We start from the raw sequence: 25,417 nt of genomic DNA on the forward strand, positions 1-25,417 counted from the left end.
CATTAGATTCTCAGTGGAGCGAACCCTATTGTGAACTGCACATGTGGGGAATCTAGGTTGTACACTCCTTATGAGAATCTAACTAATGCCTGGTGATCTGATGTAAACAGTTTCATCCTGAAACCATACCTCTTCCTCCCCACTACTCCATCCGTAGAAAAAATGTCTTCCATGAAATCAGTCTGCTGTCCTGGGCTAACCCCAAGTAGCTTTAATCCAGCTATATGTACATCTCCAAATGGTTCTCAGCGAAGAATCAGAGCATCTTGAGTGAAGAGGGATTGAGAACAAGTGGAAGAGAAGAAAGAAGGAAATGGCCACTTCTTCCATTCCCCCAACACACGACTCCCTAAACAGAATCAGACTTCTCTGGTAATTAGATCGCCTTTCTGTCTGTTTGGCTCAGCTTTCACGTGTGTACACCCCATTGCAGCAGCACTCCAGCTCTCCTCATTACCATGAGACATCCGTGTTGTAACTGTTGCCTGGCAGGAATGTGGTAATCCTTGGTGATTATACTCACACATAAGACTATACAGGCTTTCATCAGCTCATGATCTCAGGCACTTTTACAAGAGTTCGCAAGACTGCCACCCACCAGGCCAGGACCAGATTTTCTGGTTTTCTAATGGAGTGTCTGGCATTTTGTTTCTCCTAGGCTGTACTATTTACCTTCACTAGACAGATATTTAGCAAAACTTCAACGAGGAGCCTCTTGAAAGTAGGAACTCTGTGTATTCAATGTGCTGCTATATCTCCAGTGCCTGGTCTAGCATCATGCCAAACTACTTAAATATTTGTGGCATGAATGAAGTTTAAAATTATAGAAAAAACAGGCTGAGCACAGTGGCTCATACCTATAATCCCAGCACTTTGGGAGGCCAAGGCAGGAGGATTATTTAAGCCCAAGAGTTCGAGACCAGCCTGGGCAATACTGTGAGACTTCATCTCCAAAAAATTAGCCAAGCATGGGTGGCACATACCTGTAGTCCCAGCTATTCATGAGGGCGAGGGGGGAAGGACTGCTTGAGCCTGGGAGGTGGAGGCTGCAGTGGGCTATGGTCACAGCACTGCATTACAGACTGGGCGACAGAGTAAGACCCTGTCAAAAAAAAAAAAAAAGAAACAAAAGAAAAGAAAGAAAAAGAGAGAGAAGGAAAGGAAAGGAAAGGAAAGGAAAGGAAAGGAAAGGAAAGGAAAGGAAAGGAAAGGAAAGGAAAGGAAAGGAAAGGAAAGGAAAGGAAAGGGAAAGGGAAAAGGAAAAGGAAAGGAAAGGGGAGAGGGGAGAGGGGAGAGGGGAAAAGGAAAAGAAGAAGGAAGGGAAAGGAAAGGAAAGGAAAGGAAAGGAGGAAGGTAGGAAAAGAAAGGAAGGAAGGAAGGGAAAGAAAGAAAGAGAGAAACAGAGAGAAAGAGAAAGAAAGAAAAAAAAACAAAAAGCATTAATAATTTCAAGCTCATAAACTTGGTAAAGAAAAAGAAACTTCTCTATCACTCTTACCATTTCTAGGGTAGAAATGGCTAAATTTCTACCCTAGGCTTAAATTCAAAGCAGTAGCAGAAAGTACCAAATACCTTCCTGCAAGTATTTATGTCATTACCAACCTAAGAAAAATTTTCACCAGATCATGCTTCCTAATTATGATTGAACAAGAATAAACTGAAAAAAAGACAATCAATATTATTTTTTATTATTTGGTTCTATTTATTGTTTGCCCACCAGCATGTAGGCATTTCTAAAGCTAGTCTAGAAACTGATTGCCCACTGTGCAGAGAGAACAAGGTAACAAGCAAAAAAACAAAAGAAAACAAAATCCAATAAAGTTAGGTAAAAAAGAAAAGAAAAATGAACAATGTTTTATGTGGCCTCGTTTTCTCATTGGTTTTGTGTGTGTATATACTACATACCCATAATTATGTCAGACAAGCCATGAATTGTATAAGTGTTTGCCAGTCCTGTAATGAGTTAATCTGAAAAATTAACCTGCACACTTCTTGAAAAGAAAAATAGTCTCTTACTTATCTCTGATTGTGTAATAATTGGGGTAGTATCCCTTCCATACTAACCAGTCAACAAATACTTGTTGGCCTATGAACAGTGAGTTAATTTAAAATAAGATTAAAGTCAAGAATTTAGGCAACTCTGGGTCTACCGCTGACTTGGTGGTCTTGAGCACTAGTGTCTTTCAACTCAGCTCTATCGTCTCTATGGGACTGAGCAGGGAGTCATCCAGGTCGATGGAGGTAACACTGAACCGATGAGCTAGACATGCCCCCGCACCACTGCTGTGTGACACTCAGAAGTCACTAACCCTTCTCACTCACCCTTCTCTGTTATCCTTTTATCCTAACTATAAAGAAAGAGCAGTGGCCCAAGTCACTACGTTTCCTTCTAGCTCAAAGATTCTTCTTAGGTATTTCTTTCATGATTGTTACTAGGATTCCTCAAGAATTATGCTAACAGCAAGGGGTATTCTTTAATTAAAGGTGCTGTTTTTGGGCCAGGTGTAGTGGCTCACGCTTGTAATCCCAGCACTTTGAGAAGCCGAGGTAGGCGGATTGCTTGAGCCCAGGAATTTTCTGGGCAACATGGCAAAACCTCGTCTCTACAAAAAAATACAAAAGGCCGGGCGCTGGGGCTCACGCCTGTATTCCCAGCATTTTGGGAGGTCCAGGCAGGCAGATCACCTGAGGTCAGGAGTTCAAGACCAGCCTGGCCAACATGGTGAAACCCCGTCTCTACAAAAATACAAAAAAAATTAGCCAAGCATGATGGCGGATGCCTGTAATCCCAGCTACTCGGGAGACTGAGGCGGGAGAATCGATTGAACTTGGGAGGCGGAGCTTGCAGTGAGCCGAGATCACGCCACTGCACTCCAGCCTAGGCAACAGAGCAAGACTCCGTCTCAAAAAAAAAAAAAAAAAAAAAATTAGGTGGGCATAGCAGTGGGTCCCTGTAGTCCCAGCTACTCAGGAAGCTGAGGCAGGAGGCTTGCTTGAGCCTGGAAGGCAGAGGCTGCTGAGATCATGTCACTGCGCTCCAGCCTGGGCAACAGAGGGATAGCAAAACTCTGTTTCCAAAAAAAGATAGCTTTCCAATCTACCTCTGTACTGCGATGGCACCCAACCCACTAATTAAAGAAAAAAATGTAAAAATAACATAATACTTTTTATTTAATTTAGCAGTTTCATTCTTAACTCAGAGATTAGTTTTTTGTTTTTTTGTTTGTTTGTTTGTTTTTTGAGACAGAGTCTCACTCTGTCGCCCAGGCTAGAGTGCAGTGGCACAATCTTGGCTCACTCCAACCTCTGCCTCCCGGGCTCAAGCGATTTTTGTGCCTCAGCCTCCTGAGTAGCTGGGATTACAGGCACCCACCACCATGCCCAGATAATTTTTGTATTTTTAGTAGAGATGGGGGTTTCCCCATGTTGGCCAGGCTGGTCTCGAACTCCTGACCTCAAGTGATCCACCTGCCTCAGCCTCCCAAAGTGCTGGGATTACAGGCGTGAGCCACTGTGTCTGACTGAGGTTTGCTTTTAATTTAATTTGCTCACCAATCATTTGCTCTCCAATTGAAGGATAACTGAGTACGAAAATGTACAAACAGAAGTACAGTAACAGTGGGTCTACCAAGAACAGTCTCTCAAGGGAGCAAAAGAATACATCCAGGTTCCCAAGACTGAAAGCATCCTGTCCATGTCACCCACCATCCCAAATCTACTAATCTTTCTTTATGTCCTATCTTCTGCAATGGAACCACTGAAGAATCTTGTAGACAAAGCCAGAAACCAAGTTTGCCTTACAAACCCCATCGCTGCCTACAACCCAGCCCAGGACCTCTCCCACCAGCAGTGGCCCAACTGACTCCTTCAAGGTCTCCTCTACATCCCTGCCATGAGTGTAGTAAATTGTTCATTGAGTAACGCTCACTAGTGCCTCTCCTCTGCTTAAAGCCATCAATGGTTCTCCTAGCTGGTGTAGATTTCTTGATTTTCATGATCTGGCCCCAGACATCTCCAACATCATCGAGTTATCATCTCATAGGTACCCTCACCCTAATTGTATCTTACAGCTCCCTGGGGACACCATGACCATGTTCACCTTCTGCCTTTGCACTTGTCTGCCTGAAATGTCTTTTTTCATCTGGCAAACTCCTATGCTTCAGGATCAGCCCCAGCATCACCTCCCAAAGCCCCCATGTCTACATCCTGTCTGAAATATTAACACATGCCCCCTCATCTGTTTTTCCCAAACTTAACTATTGTGGCCCTTAAAAGTGCATTTTAATTTTTAAATTTTACTATTTCCCTGGTGAGTCTGTGGACTCTTCAAAGTAAGAGTATTTTTCACCTATGAAACATCAAGGATAGTCATAAACAATAGGCCAAGAGGCTGGGCGCAGTGGCTCACGCCTGTAATCCCAACACTCTGTCTGGGAAGCCAAGGCAGGTGGATCACCTGAAGTCAGGAGTTCGAGACCAGCCTGGCCAACATGGTGAAATGCCATCTGTACTAAAAATACAAAAATTAGCCAGGTGTGGTAGCAGGCTCCTGTAATCCCAGCTACTTGGGAGGCTGAGGCAGGAGAATTGCTTGAACCCAGGAGGCGGAGGTTTCAGTGAGCCGAGATCATGCCATTGCACTCCAGCCTAGGTGACAAGAGCAAACTCCGTCTCAAAATAAAATTAAATAAAAGGCCCTTCATAAATGTTGATAATAAATGATGTACCCTGATAATGGATTCAAAGCAGAAAAGATACCATCCAAGAGAAATATGAACAATTTAAAAAATGAAAAAGAAATAATAATGCTAATGGAAAAAAGGAGGTAGACCTACTGGAACCCATTTTCAGTGTTGTCATGGCTTTTAACTCAAACTAAAAAACAAAACAAACTTCCCCAAACCCTAAGTTATAGACAAAGAGAACTACCAACGTTTCTGATTTCATACAAAAAGACAATGTGTAAACTAAGTGTATATACTCAACCACAGCTTCCTTGTGACTTACATTTGAAAACAAAGTATTCCCTACTCTAACATTTTAGGACATAATCTTTTTTCTAAATTTTATATACACACAGAGAGAGAAAACAAAACTTGAAATACTTATATACCATGCTAACAATGTAATATTACTGGAAACTAAATTGTTATCAATAAAATGTAAGAAGGGAGATGCTTTGTTTCACCAAAAAAAAAAAAAAAAAATGTAATTTTTTCCCAGAGAATTATTCCCAAGATGGTCACTTGGACTCATGCCCCCATACAATTCCCTTGGCTAAGCTCTCACTGGCTGGCCTGCTTCCAGATGTTGTCAGTCAAGGTGACTGAGGGAGCTCAAGTAGGAAAAAGAAGTGTTCTTCCTCTCACCATGACAATGTTACATTTGCTACATTTTTTGTCTTAGAAACAGGGTCTCACTCTGTTGCTCAAGTTGGAGTGGAGTGGCAGAAACATAACTCACTGTAGCCTTGAATTCCTGGTCTCAAACAATTCTCCCACCTTAGCCTCCCAAAGCACTAGGATTACAGGAATGAGACACCACACCTGGCCTTTACCTTCTTAAAGGTTTTTCCCCACCCCACTACCCATTTTCTCAGCCCCAGACTGTTTATATCACACTGGGAAGAAAAGACAAATAACACACATTGCTATATAATGTTATTCAATTTACTTTAATAAGCATGAAAAAGGTAACAGAAAGGAGGCAATGGCCAAAGACAAATGTTAAAGAAAAGAGTAGGAAGATCCAAGGAATAATAAATGGCTGTTATTAGCATTTGCTGGCTGGGATCACTTTTACACATGAAATTGCTTAATGCGTGAGTCATCTGAACTCATGACTGCACTGAATCATTTCATGTGTTCAAGCAAACCTGCAATGAAAATAACCCAGAAGTCTTGAGATGCCAATGACTCTCCAATCAAAATAATGAGGGTGGCAGATCTACCCGAGAAAAATCAAAAAACAAATAGGTGCTTAGAAAACAATTTTAAATCCTATTGTTTTCATAAAACAAGTGGGCAGAGTAAAGTGAGATTTTTTAGTTTACCAAAATTGGGACTGGGTTAAAATTTCAAAAGTTGAGAATTCACTGTTCTGGAGGATTCTGTGAGAGTCAACACTGGTGTCTACTCTGTGCCCACTGCAGGGTTGGGCCAGGAACTGGTTTCTACCCTCACTCAGTTCACAGGATGATCAGGAGAGCCCAATCCTTGGCTTCTACTCCAATAATGTTAGCTTTAAAATTAGTCTTACATGCTAATAGTTTCTCTGTCAGGGTGGTGAAAATGTTCTAACATTAGATAGTGGTGTCAGTTGAACAGTTCTGTGGCTACACTAAAAACCACTGAATAGTACATTATAAAAGGGTGAATGTTTTTGGTATATGAACTAACTCAATAAAACTGTTATTTTAAAAATCAGTTTGAAAGGTCTTACAGCCTTTTTTGTACAACTTAGACCTCGAGTACATGCTGGGCTGTACTCCTGGACCTAGCTTCACCACCTGGACACAGCTTGTCTCCCAGTTAATTTTTGTGAAAAGAGCAAAAGCTCTGGAATCGCACAGCTTGAGGAATGAACCTAGGCATGTTACTTCCCAGGCATTGGTATCTTAAGCACATTACTCTCTGCCTGTGTCCCATCTATAAAACAGGCAGACACCACCCCCCAATCAGATGAGAACTACTACTGAGAATCTGCAAATCACCGCCAACTTCAGACTAACATTAGTAAATGGCAGATAATTAAAATGAAATTAAATAATTAAAATGAAACAGCCTCTACCAAAGGACACGTGAGGTATCAGAAGAAACTAACAGGAAAGACAAAAACGAGAAAGGATGATGGCAAGTCAAGAGTCAGGACTGAGGCCAGCCTACCTGGAATCCTCTTTGGGATTCCAGTGATGCTTTGCAGTAGGGGTGATATGGGGTGGGAAGATGGGGATGTGTCTGCTCCCAGAATTATGTGCTATTATCAAGATGACCTTGTCTATGATACATAAATCTCTGGACTCTTTAATGCAAGACCTTTTATATGAGTAACCACAAAACAGAGACATTTTCTATACTTTACTCTCCTCAAGTGTCACTCAGCATTCAGTCCACTAATGGAATTTTAGCCTCTTGATTTGGGTTACTATTAATTAGAACACATAGCTTTGCATCAGAATTCATTTTTTATAGATTAATTCTATAACATAAAACATGCCTGAATTTGACTGTTAGGAGTCTTTTCTTCACAAGCCTCAAGATTCCACACCTGTGATTAATTTACATAAGCACAGGTTGAAACATCAGCTTTTTGATCATTTGTGATATTGCAACTCTTAAGAAGCAACTTACCCGACAATTAATACAATCTATATTTATCAATAACCCAAATTCCCAGAATTTGGGCCAGAATTTCTAATGTGAAATTAATTCTTCATAGCCATTTTAACACCATTCTCATTTAAAATGTGCTCTATTTATCCAAGCAACAATGAAAGGAATATGTGTGTATAAACCCACACATATATAAGCCTTTTGTCACACATTTCTACCCTTCAAAAGCAATTCAAGAAGAGCTAGAGACTAGCAAATTGTCAGCCCTATCCTTCCTCAGGTAGAGGTGATACTACAGCCAGCTGAATTCTCTCAGAAGTTCCTCCAGAGACCAGTAAGTTAACAAACTGTCTCCATACTGCACAGGTTGGCTTCCTGTATCTTTGTATATCCTGATGTCCAGCATATACTTGAGCTCTGTGGACTGAAGAGGAAGGGCAGACAAGCATTACCCAAAACCCCAGGGTTAAAGGACTAAATGAGCTCAGTTGTTCTCACCCTTGGCTGTACATTAAAAGTGCCTAAGAGTGCTCTCTGGTGGAAATGGAGGATGGCCATTGTCCCAACTCTCCAGGTGACTCAAATGAGCAGCTGGGAGTTGAGTATCACTGAGAGAGACATGGTAAGAAACAGTTAATACTTTCAGGATTGCTTCAATATGATGGGACATGAAAGTACAACACACATATAAAAAGGAAATAAAACGTTAGCAATTGTCTCTGTTTACCATTCACACTGTCAACAATTACAAGAAAAATTCAACGAGTTTCAGGTCACTAAACCTTAGTCCATTTCATAAACATTTGTCTACCTGATTTTGTTTTTTTTTTTTACTTTCTAAATCCAAGAGGGAAATGATAATCTTCTGTAAGTTTTAGAATGGCTTATTTTCTAACACTGTCAGGAAGGAAAAGGCTAGCTCCTGTTAGTTTTAATTTTGAATGCGTTAAGTATTGGTGGAGGTAACTCTTAGATAACAGCTTTTTTAAAAATCCATTTTAGTTGTTTCATGTGCAGCACTTTTGTTGGTTCTGCCAGCACTGCTGTGCACTCAGGCTTAAGACAACACATACTAGCATGAATTCAACTGAGTCTCTTAGAACTTCTAACCAAATTTAGACTGGTTTAACACAACCATGAGGTATCCTTCCAGTTTTTTAATAATACTTTGTTCATACAAAGGGCAGGTCACATACATGTCTAGAAGCTATTTTCTTTTAAATATAATTTTGGATTAAATTTAAAATCACCTGTCGCCCAGGCTGGAGTGCAGTGGCGTGACCTCGGCTCACTGCAACCTCTGCCTCCCGAATTCAAGCGATTCTCCTGCCTCAGCCTCCTGAGTAGCTGGGATTACAGGTGCGTGCCACCATGCCCAGCTAATTTTTTGTGTTTTTAGCAGAGACGGGGTTTCACCGTGTTAGCCAGGATGGTCTCGATCTCCTGACCTCAGGTGATCTGCCTGCCTCGGCCTCCCAAAGTGCTAGGATTATAGGCGTGACCCACCATGCCCAGCCTGGTAATTTTTTTTTAAGAGGCAAATAAATGTGAATGCTACACAGAAGTAGGGGCATTCCAGGGTTGAAAAAAGCTTCCATATGTGAATATGCTCTTTCTCTAGAGGTAGATGCGTAGGTCCCAACTGTGGGGTTTATTGTATGAATACATCAGACAGCAAGAATAGAGAGCTATATATATCACACACATATGTGCCATTTATACTGCCATTTCTCAAATACAGTATGAATTCATGCAGATGTATATCAAATAAATAAATATATTCATATATACATATATAAAAACATATAGTATATGACTATATCTATTCAATCCATGCTATGGTCTAAATGTTTGTATCCTCTCAAATTCATATGTTGTAACCTAATCACCAATGGGATGACATTAGGAAGTGAGGCTTTCGGAGGTGATTAAATCATGAAAGCAGGGCCTCGTGGGATGAGTGCCCCTGTGGATTTAGTCCCCTTATAAGAGAGACCCCAGATAGCTACCTTATCCCTTCCACCATGTGAAGACAGAGCAAGAAGATGCCAACTATGACCTAAGAAGCCCTCGCCAGACACTGAATCTGCCAGTGCTTTGATCTTGAGCTGCCCAGCCTCCAGAACTGTGTAAAATAAACGTCGGGTCTTTATAAGCTACACAGCCTCTGGAATTTTGTCACAGTAGCCCAAATGGACTAAAACAATCCATATAGACTAAAAATGCAACTAAAACCTTTAGTAAGGGTCCTGATGTTTCCTTTTTAGGAAACTGCCAGCACTCCACATCCCACCACATCCCATGTGTCCTCAACCACTATGCCCCCTTCCTCCCCTACACTGTGGTTAAAACCCAGAACTGAGCCAGTTAGAACTGCGGTCCTGCCATGCGCTATCTTTAAGGCCTCAGGAGCTAACTTAATGTGCCTCATTCCCTTCATCTGAAAAATTTCAATTAAAAATTATACCTGCCTCACAGAATTATCCTAAGAATTAAATGAGTTAATATATGTAAAGCACTCACAACAGAACATGATATAAGCACCATTAAAGGGTAAGTTATTAATATTATTGATGCTCTTATAACCATAATGCTGACTTTTGTGATACTCATTTCTTTCCTTAACACTTTTTCTTTTTCTTAATAGTATATTTTACTAACTAAAACATACAGTTCTTTGACTTGTCTTTGAGTTCCATTTTTTTCTCACTCTGAAAGACATAATGGAACACATGGGAGAGTATTGTGCTGAATCAGCTCCAACGTATGTCAAAATTTCTTTACCTCAATAATGAATAATAAATTACTTAGCAATACTCACAATGCACTGCAGTGTAGCTCTGCCCCACAGTAGGGCTGAAAACCAGTGGTTGAAAACAAGGATCTGTTAACCAGTAGGGTTTACTGACAGAACAAAGGGAAACCTTCACATTGATAACCAGTATGCAGATTACATCCTCCAAGCATCCTCTAGTGAACAGAAAACAGAAAGCAAGTCACTGCCAAACAACCAGCCAACAACCCTTTAATTTAATATACTCTACTGTTCTTCATCAATATGGACGCAGACAAGCATCTATCAAGAATACCATGGAGCCTTTCAACTACTATGAAATGTAAAAATGAAAACCAAAGTGTTATACCTGGAATTCACCCAAATCTTTTAAACATATAAAATTAACAGTGACGACCTGACATTTAGAAAAAGACAAGCTGGCACAGTAATGCATGCATGACATGTTAAAGGCCATTCAATATCTAATATTCATCATGGGGAGTCGTATTTCCTCAGAGCAGGCTCTCTACTTTGCTGTGTAAATTAAAACTGTGTCAGAAGAGGCAAATACTTTTTTGGAAATGCCTAACATAAAGGCTTTATCTGTAAGAACAAGGTTTGCCCGTGACCTTACTTTGCCATCTTTAGTGATGAGAGAAGAAACCAGGCTTGAGATACTGTGGCCACTGGCCACTTGGTGTGGCCTGAGAGTGAGAAGTCCGCAGCCAGGAACCTTGAGACAGCTCACAATCTACATGGGGTTTCCAAAAAGGAAACACAGGTTGTACCTAAAAGCATTCCTTATTGCTCCTCCCTACACATTTTATCCACCACCTTATATCTGCACACAAAGTCCTCCATTTCAGGAAGGAAACCAGGACAAGCGTCACTCCCAGCTGAGCTCTTCGCCAGGTACTTTACTCAAGATTCATCTCCTCCAGGGTGCTTGGATACCCACCCTTGTTCTCCCTTCCCATGGCTTTCCCAACCAGGAAATCATCACCACCTTCTGACAGCAGAAGGACTTTGTCCTCTTTAGCACTGAGTCCCCAGTCCCTACCGGGGTGCCTGACACAGTGAGCACACTCAAGGGGGTGTGCTGCAAGATAAAGGAATGTCTCTCCTCCTCTGTGAAGCCTTCCAGGATTTATAAGGCTTCCAGAATTTAAAAGTAATGTGTGCCCTTACCCCACAACACCAGCATTCTGAAGGGCCTAGATAAAGAACACTCCATCTCCTCTTCTGGATATCTACTGTAATTAGGTGGAATAAATACCAGATGAATTGGTTCATATCATGTGCTTCATTACATCTGCACCCATGAACAGGAAGAACAGACTTTGCAGCCTTGAGTAAATGAGCTCCTTAAGATTTACGTTTCTCTCGCCTGTAAAATGAGGCTACAGATACCTACTTCCTAATATACATAAAGTTCATAGCACAGGATGTGGCACAAAGATAAACACTCAAATATCTTTTCCCTTCCCCATGTATAGTAATGAATAAAAGTCAAAGTAATTTAAATTTTACACTCACATGTAACAGAGGCAGAGCTAGGTAATCAGCTCATCTCTCTTTTGAATTTACAGGGATGCTTTTCTAAATCACTCAAACAGCATGTCTTTCTTTCCCTTTGGAGATCGAAGGATTTACCTGACCATGAGGCAGTAAGTTCCCAAAGTCAGGTCTCGTCTGAGCACAGCCTTACCTGGCCCACAGTCACAGAAGAGAGCTTCACTCAGAGAACGGGTTCAGGAAGTACATATAGAATGAAAGCTGACTAAGGCAAGCCTTTACCATTTTCCATTATCTTCTAAAATGAGATGCTTTTTTAAAAAAAACTTTTAAATTTTTTAATTTAATTTCGAGCACGGAAATTTAAAGATATTTGAGGGAAAATAGAGCGGTACATCTGTGATAAGTGACTGTTCTGTCAAAGTTTAAGGACTGTAACCCTCAGATACATTTTATTCAAAATAACAATTTCTATTGTCACACACTCAAAGCAACCCAGACAAACAGGCTTGGAAACTACCAGCCAACTTCATTCTGTGAGTAACCATTAAGTTTTAATCAGATGTGGTTCAATTTCTGGAACAGTGAGCATTAAGAGGGGCTCATCAAGGAAAATGGGCAAAAGTAGGAGGAGAAGGAGGAGGAGGAGGAGAGGAGGAGGTAGAGAACAAAAGAACTGCCCCGCAAGCCAGTCATTGAACGTGGACTCTTGACTCGAATTCTCTGCCCCTCTTTGCAGCTGTTGTCTCCTGCAGTTGGCACGAAGCGTTGCCAGTCTGGGACCGGCTTCCAGTGAGGACAGCATTGTTTTATTGGCTACTTAGGCAATGCACACACCATTAATGGAGTTTTTATCTCTCCATTTTCCTGTCAGTACAGAACCAGCCAGTCTGACTCTGTTATTATCATCAAGAAAGCTTTTCCCCCCCTCCCCACACACACTCTTTAATCCAAACAACATCTGGGAACTTCAGCCTCTATCATGTAAAAGCGAAACAGATTTAGAGGGAGAGCAGGAGAAAGTACAGTTCCAGTCGCACTGAACAACAAACGAATTCCAACAGGAGAACTAACCTTGAGCCGCCCAATATCTCTGAAACGCTATTCGCTTCAAAAAGGCAAGGTACTTCCCGCTGCATTGCTTTAAACTTCCGATAGACCCTTGCTATCAAGAGGTGGGGGAAAAAAAAACAACCCATAGTGACAAGTTGCTTATTGGTACTGTTTTCCTAGAAGGGAAGTCCTGTTGTGAAATAAAAGTCAAGAATAATATTTAGGTGATTTTTTTAAAGAATGTCTTTTTTATTCAAAAAGGAAAAAACAATAAAGACCCTTTAGCAGACATTACTAGTAAGTACATCCCCAGTGTACAAACTATTAGGAAAAATGTGGCGCCATTAAACCCAGAAAATATGTCCTTCTGTAACAGACAGCTGTCTCCTCTGTAGTTTAAGTGTGCTTTCTGCTTAGCTCATGCTCCGTGAGTCATGGAATCAATACAGGAAGCACACAGAGCCAGCCACACTGCAGATTCCGAGGAGGGTCAAGCCACACAGCTCCTCTGTTCCTCTCCTCTGCTTGCTGCATGGCTCTTCCAAGTATGTACATCTGGGGAGAACGCACAACCCCATTTCTACTTCATGTTTAAACCTGCCTCATAAGGTCTCCAATCCTGGTCCTTTCAGCATTGTTTCTAGGTAAGTAGAACCTAAAAATTACAGCCCTCCAACATGCAGGTGTCAAGCAATCCATCCTGCCCCTCAGCCCCACTCCTTTTTGAGTTTTCTGCAATGCACCAATAACTATACTTAGGTTAGAAGGGACTTACTTCCCCAGAAATGCTCATCACCCAGTAGAAGACAAAATCAGAACTGAACATCTGAGTGTCAGCAAAGGTTAATGGTTTATTTTTAATTTATTTATTTTTGTTCCATTCAGCAAAACAGGGGAAAATCACTCACTGTCTGAGCCACAGGCTCCTGCTCACTGGAAGCTGTGCCCAGAGCCCCTTGCAGTCTGTTGTTAATGACAGTCTCAGTAACCTGATCCTCTCACAGTGGGAGTCTTGAGTAAGCACTGGCCTCTCTCGGGTCTCGCCTTTCTATTGTCCCACCCTGCAGGGCCAGCTGTTTCTGACAGCCAAATTGCTGCATGCTAAGCAATGAATGCTGTCAGATAAGGAATTTTCATTTCTATAATGCATAGGCCTCCATGGACAAATTATACAGCTTATGGTGCTGGCTGCAGGATGCTGCTCCAAGCTTGAAGCACTGCCAAAATGAAGCCTGTCCTCCCCTCTCCCCAGCCCCAGGCTGACAAGACAGTCACCCAAAATGAATCTGAATGGCCCAGGGAGAAATGGAACACGTGTTTTCAGAGACAAACAAAACATATGTTGAGAATAGCTGTCCAGCGACACTCTTTGATGTAATGGCGTACAGGGAAAGCTAATTGATCTAATGTCACACCACACAACTACCAGGCATGGCATCCATTATGACCTACTGTAATCTGATACCATGCAGTGAACATCCCAAGGGCATCAGGAAAATCACTGGCTCCCTGCTTCTGGGGGATGCCAGACTTACCCAGAAACCACACAAGAACTTAGTACTTTTTGAGAACCAAGCAACACTGTATGAGGTCCCAAGAACAGTGCTCTTTTTATGAGAATGAAAGTCCCCAATATGTGCTTCATGGAATCATTCTGCAGAAACTCTATGCTTCCTCAGTTCCTCCCTCTCTCCTTCTCGGCAACAACTCCTGAACTGGGTCTGGGATACACCCCCTCCTATTCTGCATGCTGAGGTGTGGTTGAAAACCAATCATCACACTGCACTGGATTCCAGGGTGTGACGTGACCTGAGCCCACCCAATCAGAGTGACTCTTGGGATTTTACAGGAACTACTAGAAAAGAAAGTGTGATTTTCTCATTATACTTGAATGTAGGATATGCCATAGCCATTTTGCTACCTTGAAAAGAGAACCTGCTGAGGATGGAACTGACAAAAGAAGAAGTGGAGGGGAAATAACAGGGCTCTAGGGACACTGCTTGAGCCCTGAGTCAACCCAGATCTAAAACCTGTTTTACCCTGGACTCCACAGAATGGCAGCCATTCCATGTTCATCTTATTAAGGCTCGCCTGGGTTGGAGTTTTCCATCACCTGCAAACGCAAACGAACGCATAAATTATCACTCCACCATTAGAGCATCCAGGAATCAACATAAATACGCATATCATACATTGCTATGAAAGCAAGAAAAAAGTTTTCCTTTCTTGGTTATTTCTTGTGAGAACTTACTTTTTCACCTTTTCCTTCTAGTCCATATACCTTAATGTGAGCTAAAAGTGCAAAGTGTCACCTGATCTTGGCCATTTTTGCAAGGCAAATCTAGATATTTGACCTGAACTCAGAGAGATGAGGAAGCTAAATTCATGACCTGTTATAAATCTTAACCTGACATGGCACATGTGGAATAAAGAAAGTGGACTCTGGTTAGCGAGTGGTCCATCAGCTCCATGTCAGTGAAGCCAGCTGAGAAAAAGGCCAGGAAGCCAGCATGGGGGCAGGGAGCACCTGCTCTCCGGCTGGGTTCAGGTCAGCCAAAGCACAAGCACCTGCAGGCTGTGAGCCGCCAAGGCGATCACGCGCCACATCCTGCAGCCGTCCACTTTATCATTAACTACTGTCTGGCCAGCAAGGGCAGGGTCCGCTTCAAGAACACTGGGAACTTTAAGGCAGGAGGCATATTCAGAACCATGGTGGGCTCACAGCCACTCACTACAGACTATAAATAGCCTCCTGGCTGTGATCCCGACGGCAACCACAATTCCTGTTCCCCTGGTGGTAACAGAACTTCAGGCCTTTTGCCCAAGAAATTCAGCACAACCTACCAGGTATGGCAAAAATTATGAAATGTACATACATGCTTACTCAATGCCCTGGCCACTCTCCTCTTGTCCATACTTGGCTTCTAATCCCCAAAGATCAAAAAGTGGGGATATTAAAGTTGAAAAAGATATAAATAAGATTTCAGTTTGATGCTGAGAAAAAAAAACTATAGAATACACAGGCTCAAAATTGACATAGGAAGGTAGGGAGGAAAATAAGACCCACTCACTCTCAACCCTTCTCCTTCGACAATCACAGGGATTTCAAATCCTTATAGTCATTATTTTATCTGAAGTTATAAGGGGATAGGATGAAGCAGGGGGGAAGACTTGCCCTGACTTCTAACTTGGGAGGAGCAAAGGAAGACCAAGAAGGCCACTAAGACTGCTTAGACATGTATTTTAACGACCGCATTTACCTAGCTGCTTCTCAGGGACAATAAAATGAAACAAAATTGTCAGGACTTACTTAAACTTACAGTTAAAGATCCACCCAGAGCTGGGTGCAGCAGCACACACTTGTAGAGCCAGCTATTAGGAAGGCTAAGGCAAAAGGATTGCTTGAGCCCAAAAGTTCAAGGTTGGAGGCTATAGTGTACCATGATCTTGCCTGTGAATAGCCACTGCATTCCAGCCTGGACAACATGGCAAGACCCCATCTCTTTATAAAAAAAGAAAATTGGCAGGGCACGGTGGCTAACACCTGTAATCCCAGCACTTTGGGAGGCCAAGGCAGGCAGATCATGAGGTCAGGAGATCGAGATCATCCTGGCTAACACAGTGAAACCCCATCTGTATGAAAAATATTTTTAAAAAATTAGCTGGGCGTTGTGGCAGGCGCCTGTAGGGTCAGCTACTTGGGAGGGTGAGGCAGGAGAATGGCATGAACCCGGGAGGCAGAGCTTGCAGTGAGCCCAGATCGTGCCACTGCACTCCAGCCTGGGCGACACAGAGAGACTCCATCTCAAAAAAAAAAAAAAAAAAATTAACAATTAATCCAATCCCCTGAACTCAGGGATCACTCTGCTACTTTAGGGGGAGTCATTCTAGGGAAACATCCCTTGTTACAATCACTGTCAAAAGAAAAAGTAGAACCCCCAACAGTCCAATACTGAAGAAGACCTTGGAAAAGGTCTTTATACCATATCATCTCCAGGACTGGCACAGTGCTGGCACACAGCTGATGTTCTAACATGTGGATGGATCTCTCTTCCAACCAACTTCCTGACCCTTAACAAAGGCCAAGCCAGAAATAAACTGCATAAAGTACAGAGTACAGAAAGCGTTCTGAACTGCAGCAAGTTCACTGCCTTTCCTTCCCATATTCATTCATGCCTTTGGCCAGGAGGTACTGAGCACCTACAATGAGCCAGGCACTGATTTAGGCACTGGAGGTATGACATCAAATGCAATCAAGTTCCTGCCCTCAGAGTTTACATTCAGGCAGAAAACTCCACATGGAAGTTCTTTCATGCATCCAGCCCTGTATCTCCCGCTGTCAGACTCCAAATCTTAGAAGATTTCCTCCAAGTATGAACACACGACCCTGCATAAGGAACTCTTCAACTCATGAATCAATGAACTCTGGCAAAGTCTTCAACATCCAGTTACAACATCAATATTTAAGGTTCAAAGATGATGCAATTTACTCAATTTCTAGCATTTTATGTTCCTGCTTCCCCCACCCCCTGAAAATTTCAGAAATAATCTGCTACACAGAGGAATTTAAGGAATGTAATTTTAATCTAAAATATTAACTCTGGGCAGGGGACTGTTCTAAGGTTCATCTACTATGATTTTTTTTCTTTGATCTGAAAACCAGCGAGGCAGTGTACAGATTCCAGGTTTCCTAGTACAAAGAACAGTGTATTTAATCACATCTCTATTATAAAAGCCATGTGATACAGAATAAACCTCTCAGACTTTAACAGTCACAAAATTATTCTTAAGAATACAAATTTAACACTAATAATTAAACCATACTCTAAATTCTATCCTCCCATTGAATTTGGAGGTAGAGGCCTTGAACTTAGAGGAAGTATAGCTTTACACAGCTAGCATGATAAATGCTTCAGATCAGTAAGAAAGTCAGTAAGTGTGCTTTTATTCATGTCATTTGTCTATCTTTCTGCAAACTAACCAAATAAATACCATAGAGCCAGACTGCAGTAACTGACATATTCAATACTGCATTACTCAACACACTAATAGTCTGTTTTCTAAATCCCACAAGTTAGACTTTTACTGTGGGTGACTTGGAAACATTCCATAATTATCACTAGTGCCTTGGTTTTCCCTAAAAAATGAGTAATAATAGCAGCCACAGTTTTTTGAACACTTCCAAGGTACCAGACACCACTGTGACGGAGATTTGCATCCATATTACCACACTTAATCCTCCCAACACACATAATGACATAATAGCAATTATCATCTCCATTACACAGGTGATAAAACTGAAGCTCAGAGAGGAAAAGTAACTTCCTTAATGTCACAAAGCTGGGATGTGACAGAATGAGATTCAAACCCACACTTGCCTGACACCATAGGCCATTCTTACCCATTATGTCACAGTCTCTGGATTCTTTTCCAGCCTTTCTTTTCTCCCATGATATCATGGGAAAGGATTAACATGTACCTTCTAGGCCAACCCTGCAATAGAATACTGGCACTGTAAATAATGGTTATGTTGCACAGACCTGAGCAGTTATATTAGGATTCATGGATATAGTAAAACTCTAAATGAAGATAACCATTGAATATGAGCCTGAACATACCAAAGGCTGAAAATCAGTCACCTTCAAATGCTTAATACAAAAAACATGAGAGCAGTACTTAAACTTTAATGGGGTTAGACTGCCAGCATCCATTCAAAGACGAAAAAGAAAAAAGGAGCTATTCGCAGATAATCTTGAAATTAAGCCAAATAAAGAAAAGAGAATAATTGGGAAAACAGCCTAAGACCCATGCTCACTGGTAAGCTTCAAAGAGCAGCTGTGCTTACAGGGCAGGCAAAGGAGGCCCTGTCATGCAGAAGACATTGTGAAACCATCATCTCCTTATGGAAAGCAAGGCTGGGGGCCGCCCTCGGCATGGCCCTCCAACTGTGCTGTGGGAGATCAAGTTCAAGTGCTCACAAGAGTGTCTTCCAGGTTTGTAAAACCCACTGGAAAGGATTCCAGTGAAGATGAAGACTGCCAAGAGCCCAGGTAAGACAAATTCCCAAGTAACAGTGACAGCTCTGCCCCCAAGACTTCCAAGCTGTATCTGGCAGATCTCCAAACCCACCCTGTCCCCACTGGGTTTGCTCTTCCCTCCAGAGGCCTTTCTCAGCTTGGCTACTCCACCATCAGCTCTGCTGCCTACTCACTTAAGGTTCCAGGGAATCAAAAGTGGTTAGTTACTCCACACCAAAAGTACAGTACCAGAAATTAACAAACAAACAAAAAAAACTTGGGATGAGAAAAATCTCCTGTGATATTTCAAGTTAAAATTCTGATAATCACACCAGGATTTTTACTTGACACTTTTCATTTTATTTAAAAATAAAAAAATTGATCATCTGATAGATGCTGTTTCTGAAGCACCACAGAGCTAGGACCCTGCTAGGAATTGAGGGTTTCAGAGCAAAAGAAACCCTTTTGACCTCAAGAGCTGCTGTGGTCTGAATGTTGGTGTCCCCACAAGAATTCATACATTGGAACCTAATACCCAATGAGATAGTATTAAGAGGGGGGGAGCCTTTGGTGCGTGATTAAGTCATTAGGGAGATTCATGCTCTTATAAAAAAAGAGCTCCCTGGGCCCCCCCTTCCACCATGTGAGAACACAGCAAGAAGGTGCCATCTTTGAAGCAGAGTGAGCCCTCACCAGACACCAAATCCTGCCCACACCTTTATCTTTGAACCTCCAGAACTGTAAGCAATAAGTGTCTATTGTTTATAAATTACCCAGACTAAGGGATTTAGTTACAGCAGTACAAATGGACTAAGACAAGGACTTATGATTTAGTGAAAGAGGTGAGAATTATCCAAAAATAGTAAGATAGAGATGATGGGGTCCCAATAAGTTGTGTAGGCATGCCAGTCATGTCAAGAGGTCACAGAAATAAGTTATGACTGCTGACTGAGGTAGTGTAGTGGGTTGAACAGTAGCCTGCCAATCAATTTGTCTGCGTTCTAACCTTGGAACCTGTGAGTGTGACCTTATTTGGGAAAAGGGTCTTTGCAAATGTAAATAACTTAAGAATCTTGAGATGAGATCATCCTGGATTCTGTAGGTGGTACTTAACTCCAATGACAAGCATCTTTATGAGAGACGCATGGAGAGGCACAGAGAGAAGGTCATGTGAAGATGAAGGTACACATTGGAGTCATGCTGCCACAAACCAGGAAACACCTGGAGACACCAGAAGCTGAAAGGAGCTAGGAAAGAGTCTCCCCTAAAGCCATCAGTTAGAGCATAACTCTACTGGCACCCTGATTTCAGACCTCAGGCCTCCACAACTTTGGCAGTTACATTGCTGTTGTTTGTGGTAATTTCTTATGGCAGCCCTAGGAAGCTAATACAGATGGTGAGGGGAATGCTGCTGGGAAGGCCTGAAAGGGCCCCACAGGCAGGAGGAAAAGTCAGAGCAAGCAAAGACAAGCCGGTCATGGAGGCAACAATGAGAAAATGCATGCTGCTGCATCCATGATGAAAGAGGAGGAGAAAAACTTGAAATGTGACTTGGGGTTCAATAGCCATCTGAATGTCAGTCTAGGCCCTATTAACTGTATTAGCCAATGGGGAGTCACCAAAGATGTTTCAGCAAAGAAATAAAATGTACAATGTGCTGTTTTAGAAAAATTAATCTAGCATTAAAAAGGAGAATAAACTAGCAGGAAATATATAGCAGACCTTCCCTTTATGAAGAAAGATCCTTGAAAAACAAAACCAAGTATCCATGCCCTAATCCCCAGAACCTGTGAATGTTATCTTATGTGACAAAGGGACTTTGCAGATGTGATTAAATTAAGAGTTTTGAGATGAGGCGATTATCCTGGATTATCCGGGTAGGCCCTAAATATAATCACAAATGTCCTTTTAAGAAAGAGACAAGGAGATTTAACTTCACAGAGGAGAAGGCAGTGAGACGATGGAAACAGAGATGGAAAGAATGTGCTTTGAAGATGGAGGAAGAGCCACAAGCCAAAGGAAGTGGATTCTCCCAAGAGCCTCCAAAACTGGAAGAAAGTAAATTTGTGCTGTTTCAAGATACTAAATTTGTCATGATTTGTTACAGCAGCAGTGGCAAACTGAGTTTAATGTTTTCCCTTCTGAAATTCAAATAAACCTTGCTTCTCCTGAATTCTTCATGAAATGACTCCTCTTTGCTTTTCCCCTTGGCTCACTCAAGCTCATCCCATTTAATTCTGCCAAAGCTCACATTCAACATCCCATCTCCCTGTTTTAACACTTCCTAACTCAGATGCTTCAGACCTTTGCGACCTTCAGAACTAAACATTATAACCTACATATGCCATATGAAGGAATCAGAGAGAATCTACTAATTTACTCACACCACCACCTTGTTCCAGAAACAATTTAAGAATAAACTGACCTCCTCTGGATGGATGAAATTGTTTCTACATCTTCATCTGCAATGATACTTATAGGGATAAATACAAATGCAAAAAATTATTGAGCTGTATACTTTAGATTTGTACACTTCACTGTATAGATTCTATACTTCAATAAACACATAAAAGAAAAAAGAAAAGAATAAGCTAATTCCACCTCCTGGCCTCGAGGGCAGGAGAGTAGGTATAAAGTCTCCAAAGGAGAAGAGAAAACATAACATGTGCTATTCTAGGAAACTGAGAATAGCAGTTATATTCCTCTATTATAAAAAGAGGCTGGATAGGTAAAGATTAAAGGAACATGTGTGCATGGTCCCCAGAATCGATATGTATGTATATAAGCCCTCAGAAAGGAAACCAGAAGAAATAAGCTAAAACAGAAAAAGCCAAAGAAATGAACCAGAACATCAACAGTTTAGAATGATGTTGCACAGGAGAGTATCTTTCAAAAAATTTTAATACCTATTTTACATTTGAACTTATTATACACATGCATATAAAACTGAAACACAAATTTAACGAAACAATTATTACCCTTGCAATTCACAAGCTTTATTCAAAACTTCAATTTCCTTTTATTTCTAGTCTTGGGTGTGACTCCCTAAACTGATCCAGTAATGGACTGAGATCTAAAGTTCACAAAAAAACACTAGGACATGCCTATCAGAGATTGACCTGAGCAGGAAGATGTTGATAATATCAAAAAAAGCTACTCTCTTTTAATTTTATGGCTAAGGGAGAAAAAAATTAGAAGTTTTACTCTACAACAGAGAGTCCATTTTAAAAGCCTTAAAATACAACATCAGAAACGATGTTTTTAAGGAATGTTTTAAATTTTCTCATTATATTTTCTATTTAACCACTGTTAAGTCCCAACCCATCTGGGTGTCAGATGTGAGACTCAGTTTGATATTGAATGTTCCGTTCAAAAAACCTACCTGCTATGAGATATGCAAAGGTAAGCAAGACATGGTTCTTACCTTCAAAGAGTTTATAATCTACCAAGAAAGAAAAACACTGAAAAATAACCACACAAGAATTACAAACAGTAATACTATGGGAACACAGAAGAGAGAAAAACTGATTTTAGCCAGAGGATGAGACATGACAAAGACTGCATGGAGAAAGAGATGGAGTTTGAACTGGGGAGGGGGCGAGGAGTGGAGACAGAGAGCAGCTGACAGAGAGACTCAGAAAGACAGAGAAGTCTGGTGAATAGTAGGATGTGGCCATTTAAAAATATCCCCCCACCACCCCATTCTATAAAATACCAGAGCTGCATTCTTAAAACTGTCATGGTGTTCAACAACAAGGAGAGTTTGAGAAACTATCACAGCCAAGAGGAACCCTAGGGGACATAACAACTCAATGTAATGTAACCTGGGTGAGATCCTGTAACTGAAAAAGGACACTGGGGAAAACTAAGGAAATCTGAATGAAGTATAGCTTTGATTGTTTAAAAATGGCCCCCAAATTCTTTGGCTCTCTTCTCATCAAGAGGTGGGATCTATATCTCCTTCTCTTTAACGGGGCTCTGTGACAGCTTGACCAACAGAATATGGTGGAAGTGACACTGTAACAGCTTCCAGAACCAGATCTTAAGAAACTGGAAGCTTCCACTTCCTGTCTTTTGAGACACTTGCTCTTGGAACCCAGCCGCCATGCTATGAGGAAGCTCAAAATAGCCCATGCAGAGAGACCACATGTAGGTGTTTCAGCTGACAGCCCCAGCTGAGCTCCCAGCCAACAGCCAGCATCAACCGCCAGACATGCGAGTGAATGAGCCTTTGGATGATTCCAGCCCCCAACCTTCAAGAATTCCCAGCTGAGGCCCCAGACATTGTGGAACAGAGACAAGCTGTCCTTGCTGTGCATGTTCCAAATCCCTGACTCACTAAACTGTGAGCACAATAAAATGGTTGTCGTTTTATGCCATCAAGTTTGGGATAATTTATTATGCAGAAAGAGATTGACTGGACCAGCAGGCAGTCTAGTTGGGCTATTGTCAGGAGCAAAAGAGGACATGGAAAAGAGTCTGAAAGAAGTCGCACCTCATATCTTAAAAGTCAACCTAAGCAGTTTAATATTTCTTGTATCTATATAATGGTGAGCAGTTGATGGTTGAAAGTCAAGGGAATTACATGATTGGATTAGAAAGATGATTATTAGCAGCAATGAACATGAGGGATTTCCAGCAAGCTCAAAGAAACAGCTGACGAAGCTACAACAAAAATGAGTGTTGCTGTCATAACTACACACATTTTACAAATGAAGCAGTTTAGAGGGAAAGATAATCTAGAATAATCTGTCATCTAATCTAGTAGCAAATCCCATTGGCTCTGTCTTCAAAGTATATCCTGATTCCAACCAATCTCTTCTCATACTTTCAAGTCTGGTCCAAGAAATCACTACCTCTCACCTAGACCAGTACTTATACAACTAAATTACTATCTGTAATGGACCAATACTTTTGTAAAACTCCTTGTTCAATGGGTTGAATCCACTGATCACAGGTACTGATGGCAATGTCAAATTACCATAACAGTCTCTAAACACTATCTTAATTTCTGTACCTATCACATTATCAAAAGAAACAAACAGTTCGTTGGACAAGCACTATGTACTATTGTTTCAAACTCTCTATCAATATCAATCTTCAAAATTTGCAGGGAAAAAATTGGAATTTCTGAAATTATAAATTATTTTTTAAATACTTCCAATAGTGTTCATTCACTATTATAAACTTTTTAAACTGTTTAATAAAAAATGTGAAGTATAGTAGTATATATCAAAACTGTAGCTTACAGAAAATATCCAAACACTAGGAAATGCCTACAAACATTATTGTATAGTATTTGAATAAGCTAGCAAGTTTAGCAGTACTACACAGAATCACGCATCGAAACTGTCAATTTAAGAACTTACTTTGCTTCCAAACCTCATTATCTTTTGGCACACTACACATAGGCTTTTATTAAAAATATTCTACACATAGATTTATTAATATTTACTTTATTTGCAATAATGACTCATTGTTAGCAGGAGACAGGGGCCAGGAACATACACGGATAACCTGGCAACAGCCAACAAGCAAGTGTAACTAGTTAAATTGTGGCCACTTTCCTGCTCCTCTCTCCATTCCTGGAATAGTCAACCTTAACCTCCTACCCAGGTGTCAGTGTTTCCTGTTCTGGCTTTCAACTTGAAATCAGCAGATTCTTTAAACCAGTAACATTTCTATGTTGACTGTGGCTAGTAGCTACCTTACTGGACAATGCAAGCATAGAGAATCTTAAAAGATGCGATTGAAAAAGAGAAGAAAAGCAACCTCAGAAAATTCCAAAACTTGGAGAAAAGAGGTCAGCAAAGAATGAAGTCAGAAAGGAACAAGTAATCACTAGATGCTTCAGAAAAATTAAAATGAGAAGGCCGGGTGCGGTGGCTCATGCCTGTAATCCCAGCACTTTAGGAGGCTGAGGTGGGCAGATCACTTGAAGTCTGGAGTTTGAGACTAGCCTGGTCAACATGGCAAAACCCTGTCTCTATTAAAAATACAAAACTTAGCTAGGTGTGGTGGTGCACACCTGTAGTCCAAACTACTCGGGAGGCTGAGGCAGGAGAATCATTTGAACCCGGTAGGCAGAGGTTGCAGTGAGCTGAGATCGTGCCAATGTACTCCAGCCTGGGCGACAGAAAAGACTCAGTCTCAAAAAAAAAAAAAGAGGGAAAAATGCCAACAGACTACATAGACTCAGACCAAGTCCCAGGCAAGACTTGAGAATGTATTTTAAACACTTAGAAAGTAGTAATCCCTGCAAACCCTAATAGTAAGAACAAATCATACAAGATTAACCCAGTTTCCTTTTCTCGTTAAGATTCCTAAGCTGGCAGTTCAAGGGAACATATACATCTAGACTTGACAACATCTCTTATGAAATATTTGTGATCAAGATAAATAAAAAGTCAAAAGATAAAAAGAAAAAGAAGTTTACTTGGACAGGGGCAGTGCCTCACACCTGTAATCTCAGCACTTTGGGAGGCCAAGGCAGGCGGATCACTTGAGGTCAAGGGTTTGAGACCAGCCTGGCCAACACGGTGAAACCCCGTCTCTACTAAAAATACAAAAGTTAGCTGGGTGTGGTGGTGCACATCTGTAATCCCAGCTACGCAGGAGGCTGAAACAGGAGAATTGCTTGAACCTGGGAGGCGGAGGTTGTAATGAGTCGAGATCGCGCCACTGCACTCCAGTCTGGGCAACAGAGTAAGACTGTGTCTCCAAAA

General features: G+C 41.4%; 1 protein-coding gene across 7 annotated transcripts in view, besides 2 other annotated features; it reads right to left on the reverse strand.

The window, feature by feature from the left end:
• The window catches only part of ACVR1 (activin A receptor type 1), a 139,885-nt gene that overhangs the window by 89,099 nt on the left and 25,369 nt on the right, over positions 1–25,417 (reverse strand). The window contains exons 1-2 of one of the 7 annotated variants that reach the window (NM_001347667.2): positions 12,697–13,086; positions 984–1,102 (exon numbers count right to left, since the gene is read on the reverse strand). The exons of 5 other annotated variants lie outside the window; for them this stretch is intronic. The gene's annotated coding sequence lies outside the window, so the exon portion shown is untranslated. Of the gene's footprint in view, positions 1–983; positions 1,103–12,696; positions 13,087–25,417 lie in introns of those variants that run through there. One more of the 7 variants, NM_001347664.1, reaches the window with a different exon arrangement.
• Positions 5,491–5,992: an enhancer, noted in NCBI's record as "NANOG hESC enhancer chr2:158687547-158688048 (GRCh37/hg19 assembly coordinates)". NCBI's record gives its function as "activates a minimal SCP1, AML or CMV promoter by ChIP-STARR-seq in primed H9 embryonic stem cells {active_cell/tissue: H9 hESC(primed)}" and the evidence as "EXISTENCE:reporter gene assay evidence [ECO:0000049][PMID:30033119]".
• Positions 12,601–13,800: an enhancer, noted in NCBI's record as "MED14-independent group 3 enhancer chr2:158694657-158695856 (GRCh37/hg19 assembly coordinates)". NCBI's record gives its function as "activates an origin of replication core promoter dependent on BRD2, BRD4, P300/CBP and CDK7 cofactors, and independent of MED14, by STARR-seq in HCT116 cells {active_cell/tissue: HCT116}" and the evidence as "EXISTENCE:reporter gene assay evidence [ECO:0000049][PMID:35650434]".

The sequence above is a fragment of the Homo sapiens genome, chromosome 2 (genome assembly GCF_000001405.40).
Source record: "Homo sapiens chromosome 2, GRCh38.p14 Primary Assembly".
Classification (NCBI taxonomy): Eukaryota; Metazoa; Chordata; class Mammalia; order Primates; family Hominidae; genus Homo; species Homo sapiens.